A 10,146-nucleotide genomic window follows, 5' to 3' on the forward strand; every position below is an offset into this window, starting at 1 on the left:
TATTTTCTACTGATGCCAAGAGACTCCTTTGAAGCTTAGTCAGTGACACTGCAGGCCTTCCCTTACAGCTGATCCACTCCCCTGCCCCAGCACACTGGCCTACTAGCAGGCAGCTTCCCAGTGATGGTGGTGTCAAAGGGGTCTGTGCCTTAAGCCCTGTGCCTGGCACACAGCATGCCCTTCATAATTTATTGCTGTTATTATTGGCGACTGGGTCCAGCTGCCTAAAGGTCCTTCCAAAGAGAAGAGAAAGGATTTAGAGGAGTTGAGGGCCTACATTATGCTAAGCGCCTGACAGAGATCTCAAAACTCTCCAGAGATGGCACTCTAATTAGCTCCATTTTAAAGATGAAGAAACTGAGCTCAAGACATGAAGAATCGAGCCCAGGATCATACAGAAAGGAAATGTCTGCCAGGCATGGTGGTTCATGCCTGTAATCCCAGCACTTTGGGGGGCTGAGGCAGGTGGATCATTTGTGGTCAGGAGTTCGAGACCCATCTGGCCAACATGATGAAACCCCATCTCTACTAAAACACAATACAAAAATTAGCCAGGTGAGGTGGCGTGCACCTGTAGTCCCAGCTACTCGGGAGGCTGAAGCAGGAGAATCGCTTGAACCTAGAAGGCTGAGGTTGCAGTGAGCAGAGATCACGCCACGCACTAGAGCCTGGGCAACAGAGCTAGACTCTGCCTCAAAAAAAAAGAAAGAAAAGAAAAGAAATGTCAATAAGGTTTGAAATAAATCCATCTGAGTAAAGATGGCATGAACCTTTATTCCCCATTTCCACCATCCTACTCTCCAGCAGGGAGTGTCAGAGTGTACCCTCTCTGCCTTTTTCGCTCCTTCTCTTTTTCTTCTTGGAGGATGGGGGTGGGGTGGGAGTGGCCACAGTGTTCATTCACTTGGGGCCTAGGCCTGTAGGCTTCTGTGTGGCTGTCGGGGGTTCTGTAGTCAAAGTACACTTGGAGATCCCAAACTTCTCCATGCACAAGTCCCCAGGACTGGGGCCACACAGGCAGCAACAGACCACCACCACTTTGATTTCCTGCCCTGACTGAGCCCTTCGATCCCACTTTGCAGCGCCCCCTCAGCTAGGGGCCCCACTGGGCTTGGGATACCACTAATAAGGCCGAGTCCTTCCCCTGTTGAATGAACAAGTCTTTGTGTTGTGCACTTTGCAGAGCCCTGTGTTCCCAGAATCTCTTGCTGCACAAAAGGACACAGGCCTGGACATGGCTTTGCTCTGCTCTACAATATCTGGAGCCTTAACTGGGAACACTCGAAAGGCTTAGGGGCTGGAGTCATATGGAGGCTTGTTCACTTACATGTTGGTATCTGGACTGGGACCACTGTCACCCAGAGCATCCATATGTGGCCTTTTCATATGTCTAAGGCTTCTCCCAGCATGGTGGCTGGGTCCCAAGAAGGAGTGTCCCAGGAGTGAGCATCCAGAGAATGAGCTTCCCAGCAGGACCAGTGGAGGCTGCAGGGCCATTCTCACCTAGACTTGGAAGTCACAAGGAGTCAGTTCTACTGCATCCTACTAATTACAAACAAGTCCATAAGGTCAGCCCAAACCAAAGAGAGGAGAACTGGACTCCACCTCTTGTTGGGGGAGTGGCCAGTTTCCACTGCAGAAGAGTCTGTGGGTGGGACATGAGGCTCCATCTTCTTTGGAAACATACCATCTGCCACAACCTGCAAGGAAACAGATATAATCAGTAAGTTTCAGGGACAGAACCCTTCCATTCCTACGACAATGTTCCTAATGTCTGCAGTATTCTTCCCCACCCAGGGAGCACTACACAGCACCCTGCCTGCCTTGACAGAGGGGCAGTCACCCAACTGGAGCAGGGGTCTCTAGACCCTCTGCAGTGCCACCACCCCTGAGAGATGTGTGTGGGAAGAACAGAGGCTCATTCTGCCCAGATAAGGAGAACACATTGCTGTAGAGAAGGATGTCAGCAGGGCTGGGCAGGAAGCCCTTTTGTCCTTCAAAGATGTTCAACCTTCCTGGCATTGGCCATGTGCTCCTGACCTCAGGTGTTTATCATGAGAGCTTTGATGGCCACCTCTTCAGAGAGGAGATACCGTGCTCTCATCCTCAGCTGTATCCATGGTCCCAAACAAAACACCAAAGCCCAAGGAGGTAGGGTAAAGACATCCTATGCCTGGGCGGGGGGCCTCTATCTCTGCTCCTACTTCTCCAGAGAAAACAAATACCCCGTTTGGGAACCAGAGACTTGTCCCATCAAAATCAGCTTTGACCAGCATAAATGCAGTCCTTGTCCCCACTGTCTCAGTTACCTTAGAGTTTAGGCCTGTCTGCAAGACTCTTGGGGAGGCTCATCCTTTTGGAAAAGGAACTTTGTGAGAAAGAAGCTATGGTTAGGAGCCAAGAGGGTGATGAGCAGGCACGCTCCCCGGACTGCCGCTCACCTCCATGAGAAGACAGGCAGCGGCCTCGGGTCCACTCAGAGCTTGGGAAACAGACATTCTGCAGTGGGCCTGTGGCTAAATGAGAGGAGCCATTTTTCCATTTCTCCAGGGCCATGGTCAGGGTCCAGGGCCTCGTGAAGGCTATCAAGAGAGCCCTGGGATCCTTCAAGGAGCGAGAACCCCTTTCACTGAAACAGGGGAGAAGCTGGGAACATGGTGGTGTGTGGGGAGTGGCAGGTGAGTCCAGCGCCACAGAGAGAGGAGCAGACGTCCCAGGCCAGCCACATGAGCTGCATCATGGCATCAGTGGGACAGCCCCTGAGGGCCACCCAGACTCTGACAGCCAGGGGAGCCAGGAGAGCAGACCTTGCCAAAAGGAGATGGCCCAAGGATGTGCTGTTGTGACTGTAACCCTGTTTTTAGAAGCAGGCTGGTAAGACCTGAGAAAGCATAGGTTACAGCAGATTTTAATGACATTTTGAATCAACAGAAAGCCTGTCACAAGTCCGCATGCCGCTAATTGCCTAATGAAAGAACAAACATGGGCCCTGACAAAAATGAGAGGACGTGGAAATCTCTGTGGGTGGAGAGACCTGAGCAGGCTTCACAGATGCAGAGCTGAGCTCGATAGCAGGAAAATGGAAAGAACTCAAGAGAAAGAAGGAATAGGAATGGGGTGGCAGGCACTTGTCTTGAGGGCACAAAGCATGAATCTGAACCCTCATCTGTTCCCCTCAGGGCCTCAGCCACTTCTCCCTGGAGCAGTGGATGGGCTACACTGAGTCCTGGGCAAGGCGACGGCCAGCCCTAGCCCTGCATGACTCTCTAGGACCAGAGGGAGGTAGCCAGGCACTCTTTGTTTTGCAGATCCTCTGGCCACAGCCACTAACTAGGGAGAGAATGTCTCTGCCCAGCAGCAGGGGTAGACGAGGGAGTGCCCTACAGATTGAGAAACTTGCCTCCTTGAACACCCAAGGTTTCACCTTTCCCAGAAGCATCATCTCACTTTAAATTCCCCCCAATTCTAGTCAAAATCCTTTTGATGGTTATCAAAATTACATGACTGGCTTCATGCAATTTTAATGTTCTCTACCAACAAATTCTGCAAGAGAGATTCCCCCCAGGCATCCCCATTGATCATTCTAAGTAGATACAACAAAGCATTTCAAGACACAAGTTTTAACCGGAAAGAAAATGAAATGAATATTTCATTTATGATAGGTTATCTGATGATGAACTTTTTGTAATTTTTCCATTAAAAAATCAAACAACTAAATCCAACCCTTTATAAAGGCATTGACCAACCAGATGCCAGTCTCTTGAGTATATCAAATGTTGTCCTTTCAGACAAGGTTCCTATAACAACTGGAAAGGATTTGCAGGTCAATGACCTCTAAGATGATTTTACCAACCAAGTGAGTTAATTTGCTAAGATAGAAGCCCTTGTCATGTTCCACTTGTCCCTGGATTTGTAATTGCCTCTACTCTAATATCTCCACAACTCAGCATGGGCAAAGCAAAAGCTTGTACCTGGGACTTGAGATCCTCCCAGAAGATTCCAGGAGACCACAGAAGCATTACAAAGCCTCGATCTGAATGAATTCATGCCCAAATGTTAACGGGTAATCAGAACTTTATGTGCTATTGTTGTATGCAAAGAATCTGGCTATCCTTTGTCCCTGGTACCTGGGAGACAATCTCTTTATCCTCAGAAATTTCCTGAGTGATAGGACGGTCTATTATTCATGGTGGGCTTATGAGACCCTACCTAACCATACCCTTTTATGTTAACGAAATGACTCAGGATAGGAGCTGACCACAAGAGAAAGACTAACCATGTGATTAGAGGGCTGGGGCTTTGAGCCAGGGAATATCAGCACAACCTCCAGGGAGGGACAGGGCCTGGAGATCGAGTTCAATCACATGGCCAATGATTCAGTCAATCACACCTACATAATGAAACTCCAGTAAAAATTCTGAACACCATGTCTTGCGTGAACTTTCTGGTGTGACAAACACCAATGTGCCTAGAGGGTGATGCATCCTGAGGACATGGAAGTTTTGTTTTGGGACCCTTCCAGGCCTTGCCTTTCCAGAGGTATTGACTGAGTAGAAAAAAACAGGCTTATTCCTCATCCTTGATTCCATACAAAGCCAGGGATAGAGCAACATCTCTGCAGTACTCGGAATCTCCCTCCCATCACAGAGCCCACCTGACTAGCACAACCTGAGTTTATTAATTCAACTATTTCTTCTTTTTTTTTTCTTTTTTTTGAGACAGAGTCTTACTTTATTGCCCAGGCTGGAGTGCAGTGGTGCAATGCCAGCTCACTGCAACCTCCGCCCTCTAGGTTCAAGCGATTCTCCTGCCTCAGTTTCCTGAGTAGCTGGGATTACAGGCACGCGCCACCACACCCGGCTAATTTTTTGTATTTTTAGTAGAGACAGGGTTTCACCATGTTGGCCAGGCTGGTCTTGAACTCCTAACCTCAAGTGATCCACCTCCCTTTGCCTCCCAAAGTACTGGGATTACAGGCATGAGCCACCGCACCCAGCCTCAACTATTTCTTCTAGTAAACCTCAATGCCACATCCCTCCCCCTACACAATAGAATCTCTTTCTGTATATACTTCCAACACAACTTCTATTATAAATAATTTTCACCTCTTCATTTTCTTTCTGGAACTTGTATTAGCTGGATGTTGGACCTCATGGATTAATTATCTAATTTTATTGTCTTTTATTTCCTATTTCCCATCTCTGTCTTTTTGTAGTTCTGTCTGGAACATTTCTGAAATGATCTCCCAACACTTCTATGGAATTTTTAAATTTACGCTATCATATTTTTAGTCCCCAATAACTTTTTCTTTTACATAGCAACTTCTTCTTGTCTGGGAAAAACAATATTTTGTCAATTTAATGGTAATTGGGTTATAAGGCTTTTTGTTTTGTTTTGTTCTTTGTTTTTTTTTTTTTACTGGCGTTTCACTCTTGTTGCCCAGACTGGAGTTGCAGTGGCATGATCTAGGCTCAGGCTCACCATATTCTCCGCCTCCCAGGTTCAAGGGATTCTCCTGCCTCAGCCTTCCGAGTAGCTGGGATTCCAGGCATGTACCACCACACCCGGCTAATTTTGTATTTGTAGTAGAGATGGGGTTTCTCCATGTTGGTCAGGCTGGTCTCGAACTCCCGACCTCAGGTGATCCACCCGCCTCAGCCTCCCAAAGTGCTGGGATTACAGGTGTGATCCACCATGCCCAGCAAGGTTCTAAGTTTTATTCTGCTTCTTGTCATAACTCTGTACTCTTCCTATTTCCTGCAGTTTTTGTTTGCCTTTGTTTTGAATTCTTGCTATGGTTTTTGTCTCTTGGTCATATTAGAGGCATTCCTTAAATGCCTAGTGGTCTTAGCTGCCCCTGATCCAGCCTAAGGCACTCAGAAGCATGGCATAGAAGGGCAAAGCCTGCCCCCTGAGGAGTGACAAGGATCCCACTGGCTTTCTTTATTACAAAAGAGTAGGGAGTTTTGCCTTTTTTCAGGGTGCATTGCACAAAAGAACCACTGCTCTGAACGTGACTTCTCTCTCTGCACTTCCATGCAATGCTGAGTAGAATTGTCTATACTCTGCCTGCACTGTGGTGTTAAGAGCTAAGACCCTCTGGCTTGACCAAACATGAGACAGCTGCCTGTTTATATATGCCATGAAAACATGTTTCTTCCATTAACTTCTCCTTGGTTGACCACTTCTTTGTGGAAAAGTGTAAAGAGATTCTGATTCTCTTCACTCAGCTAACCCTCTCACTGTGCTGCTCTTTTCTGCCTCTCAAATTTCAGCTCTGTTAAACTCTTCCACACCAGATGAACACAGTCAGGATAGCTGAGCATCCACCACCAGGCAGTGCAGCCATCCTTCTGATCCTCACAAGGACCTTCCCTGCTGAGCATGTGACTCCAAGTTCAGAGGAAGAACTATGTACCGAGGCTCCCACTTGGGTCCGATCCCAACGCTTGGGTTCATATCATGACACCACAGCTGAGCCTTGCCTTGCCCTACAGAATGCACTTTGTCCTGCCAAGAGAATGTGGTTGCCAAGGGGACAGAACACCAGTGTTCCACGTGGAACTTCCAGGCAGGGCACTGGGGCACAGTAGGAGGAACCCAGAAGATGCTGCCTCTCCTGATCATCTGTCTCCTGCCTGCCATTGAAGGGAAGAACTGCCTCCGCTGCTGGCCAGAACTGTCTGCCTTGATAGACTATGACCTGCAGATCCTCTGGGTGACCCCAGGGCCACCCACAGAACTTTCTCAAAGTATTCACTCCTTGTTCCTAGAGGATAATAATTTTCTCAAACCCTGGTACCTTGGTGAGGCACAGCCAGGAGATCAGGGATTGGATGTGGCCTCTTTACCTGACCTGGGATCTTACTCCCTTGACTTCCCTTTGACCTGTATCTCATCCTCAGATCGTGACCATTTGGAAGAAGAAACAGCCAAATTCTTCACTCAAGTACACCAAGCCATTAAAACGTTACGAGATGGTGAGGAAGCCAAGAGCCCCAGGGCCTTGGGGCTTGGGTTGACAAAGGCCCACCCTCCAAGGCATTCTCAGAGGCCCATGTGGCCATGGGTGGGAGGTCTTGTGAAGGTGGGAGATGAATGCAGTCTGTCTCCGTGTGCTCTTTGGAACTTCCATGTAGAAACAAGGGTCTGAAAACCCAACCTTGAGCAAGTTGTAACCCTGAACACCCCTTCCCTCCTGCTCTACCCAGATAAAACAGTACTTCTGGAAGAGATCTACACGCACAAGAATCTCTTTACTGAGAGGCTGAATAAGATATCTGATGGGCTGAAGGAGAAGGGTAAGGGGTGGGGACGATCCCTGCACACGGCCCAGCCCTCCACACCTGCCAAGACCCAAGGCATGCAGATTTCACTCTGCAGCCCCCTCGATCATCCCCAGGAGCCCCACCCCTCTCCATGAATGCCTTCCCGGCTCCATCTCCTACTTGCACCCCAGAACCCCTTGGCTCTGTCTGCCTCCCCAGCACCTCAGTTTCTCTACCTTCTCACCCTCCCTGGCAGCCTGCAATGAGTCCTGTGGTGAGTATGCATGGGGACTGGGCCTGGGGGAGGGATGAAAGGCACCTGGCACCCCCTAGCCCCTGTCCCTCCCCTCCCATAGACATACAGTCCACACTGAAGGTCACCAGCTGTGCTGACTGCAGGACTCACTTCCTCTCCTGCAATGACCCCACTTTCTGCCCAGGTCAGTGGCCACCACCCTGTCCAGCCTCTCCCCTCCCTGCCCTGCATTTCTGGAGCCATTGCTGTCTCTGTCATTCTCTTTTGCCCAACTCAAGCTTTTCTTGTTCTTTATCCTCACCCTGGGTGAAGGCAGCACCTTCTGGGATTTCTTGATGTCCTCATGTCAAGCTCCAGAGCCCCTTGGAGGCATCTGCCTGTAGGACATCACTCATGGAGGCCTCTTGGTTCTCAGAGATGCCATGCCTAGAAACATGACCAATCCTTACTCAGGAGGCTGAGGCAGGAGAGTCGCTTGGACCCGGGAGGTGGAGGTTGCAGTGAGCCGAGATCATGCCACTGCACTCCAGGCTGGGCAACAGAGCAAGACTCTGTTTCAAAAAAAAAAAAAAGAAAGAAAAAAGAAAAGAAAAAGAAAAATGCCCAATCCCATCAAACCCCCAAACCTGTTCTTCCTCCAGGGCCGTTCTCAACAAATGGCCCCACTCAAGCCCTCAGTCTCCTAAACCAGGAATCTCCCTCCACTTAGCACGGAGAATCACCATGTCTTGCTAAATAAGTCTTCTATGTGTTCCCATAGTTTCATTCTAACCTCCACTCTCAGGCCTCCTCATCTCTCATCTAACTTACAGCAACATTTCCCATTAGCCTCCCTGTCCCTCCAGGCCACATCACACTCTGAACTTCTTCTCAACGAGCAAGTCTACCCATGACACTCCCTGCTTATAACCAGCAGTGGTTCCCAAATGCCCCTAGAGAAAGCCCACCCTCCTCGGGAGCCCCCTACTCCCCAGGCACACTAAGTGCATACAGGCAGCTCCATACCTCTATCCTTGAGCGTGTCCTGTGCCGGGGACACAGCCTTGCCCTTGAACTGATCCCTTATTTGTGTTTCCAAGTCCAGCTCAGACTCCTGTTTTCTAAGAAGCTTTCCCTGATCAGCTCCCACCCCAGAGGCTTGTCAGCCATCCTCACTGTCACTTCCCCTCCCATGTCCTGTCCTATTTCCCTTGAACCCCACACCATGATTGTTTGCTTGTCTAGATATGTGCTGGGCGCACAGCGTGCTCAGTAAGTGTTTGCAAACACATCATGAGTGAACGAATCAAAGAATGAGAGGATGGTGGCCTTCTCTCTGAGTTGAGGTAGCCCTGCCTGGCCTCCAAACACCTGGCTTCCTCTTTCACACCCCAGCCAGGAACCGGCGGACCTCCCTGTGGGCTGTGAGTCTCAGCAGTGCTCTACTCCTGGCCATAGCTGGAGGTGGGTGAGTGACCTCTCCAAGCCCCAGCATCCCCAGGGAAGACACACCTATTCCCTGACTGACTCCACCCTGTTTCTTGGCCCAGATGTTTCTTTTACTGGCAAAGGAAGAAGGAGGCAGTAAAGGTACTGGGAAAGGAGACCCCGACCCAATTCTAGGGCTCCCAGAGGGAAAAGCTGGGTGTGCCCTGGGAGTCTCAGGGCCTGGAACCCCAGTGCTGACCTCCTGGGGTCTGGCGTGCAGAACAGAGTGGGATCGAGGGCCAGGACTCTCAGGAGTGCCACTCATCAGCCTCCATATATGCAGACATATTGGGGCCAGGGGCCCAGGACACAGAAATGGCAAAGCTCCAGGCCTCCCATCCTCACTACAGAGTGCTCTTCCTCCCAGCTGTCCCTGTCCCCTGCACACCCCACCTTCACCCCTGCTGCCCTGCCCTGACCCACAGGGACCATTAGCATGGCTGCCTTGCCCTCTGCTCTGGGTTGGGTTTGGCCAGGGGAGACTCCCAGGAGGAAGTTAGAGAGACAGGGAGGAGGCCAGAGTAGTGGGAGGTCAGGGTAGAAATGCCCAGCTTCTTCTCCCTCAGCAGGAACAGGGCAGCCCGCATGTCTTCCAGAAGTGAACAGAGGCCGCAGCTACCACCGTCACAAAGTTCACTCATCTCTGGGTCCCGGTGACCCCATCCCCCCATACCCTCCATCCTGGGTCCTGGGGCCCCAAAGCTCTGAGGCCTAGGAGACTGCGCTGTCTCGTGGTTTGCCTACTCCTACACCTTTGTAAAGAGTCTCTTCATTAAAACCCCTCTTCATAGCCTAGTTGACTGTGCTATCTGTCTCCTGCCGGGTGCTGAGATGACATCTCTTCCCGAGTTACCCTGTGTGCCATGTCCCATCCCCTCACCCTCCCACTCCTCTCCAGAATCATCCTGTCCTGGTCCCAAAATGATGATTTTATGGGCTCATCCAGGCCTCACCTAATTCCAATACCTGAGACGAGGCCAGAGGTGGCCTGGGCGCCCCCCTCTGCATCTCAGTTTCCCCATCTGAGCACAAGGAGATGGGGGTGTGATGCTTTGGCCAGGCTGGTGTGCTCCGACCCAGGAACCTGCCCACCTCATATTTATTGTCCAGTATTTGGCCATGCCATGGGTGCAGATCCAAAGCCCTCACTCCCCT

At 50.3% G+C, this 10,146-nt stretch overlaps 1 protein-coding gene and 1 long non-coding RNA gene across 26 annotated transcripts; one reads left to right on the forward strand and one right to left on the reverse strand.

The window, feature by feature from the left end:
- Positions 1-784: 784 nt before the first annotated feature.
- On the reverse strand, positions 785-5,511 carry LOC105373603 (uncharacterized). The gene is made up of 3 exons (XR_001739213.1): positions 5,482-5,511; positions 1,606-1,700; positions 785-1,503 (listed from the first exon to the last, which is right to left on the reverse strand). It is a non-coding gene; the product is annotated as an uncharacterized LOC105373603 (long non-coding RNA).
- A 1,067-nt stretch (positions 5,512-6,578) lies between these two features.
- TEX51 (testis expressed 51) lies at positions 6,579-9,786 on the forward strand. 25 transcript variants are annotated; one of them, XM_011512272.2, is made up of 8 exons: positions 6,579-6,806; positions 6,906-6,980; positions 7,212-7,301; positions 7,525-7,542; positions 7,625-7,708; positions 8,899-8,971; positions 9,054-9,093; positions 9,558-9,786. In XM_011512272.2, the coding sequence occupies exons 1-8, from the start codon at positions 6,608-6,610 to the stop codon at positions 9,591-9,593; spliced, it is 615 nt and encodes a 204-aa protein (XP_011510574.1). In that variant the 5' UTR covers positions 6,579-6,607; the 3' UTR covers positions 9,594-9,786. The 25 variants fall into 25 exon arrangements, 23 of the variants coding, with proteins under 23 accessions (XP_011510574.1, XP_016858637.1, NP_001403011.1 ...); XM_017003148.2 differs by having other exon boundaries at positions 9,561-9,786; NM_001416082.1 differs by having other exon boundaries at positions 8,899-8,967.
- Positions 9,787-10,146: the final 360 nt, after the last annotated feature.

Source organism: Homo sapiens, chromosome 2, assembly GCF_000001405.40.
Source record: "Homo sapiens chromosome 2, GRCh38.p14 Primary Assembly".
NCBI lineage: Eukaryota > Metazoa > Chordata > Mammalia > Primates > Hominidae > Homo > Homo sapiens.

Coding starts and splice junctions, on each gene's coding strand:
- TEX51 (XM_011512269.2), top strand. CDS start 6,608: ATGCTGCCTCTCCTGATCATCTGTCTCCTGCCTGCCATTGAAGGGAAG. Junction 6,807..6,905: donor TCTCAAACCCTGGTACCTTG/GTGAGGCACAGC, acceptor TCTCATCCTCAG/ATCGTGACCATTTGGAAGAA. Junction 6,981..7,211: donor CATTAAAACGTTACGAGATG/GTGAGGAAGCCA, acceptor TGCTCTACCCAG/ATAAAACAGTACTTCTGGAA.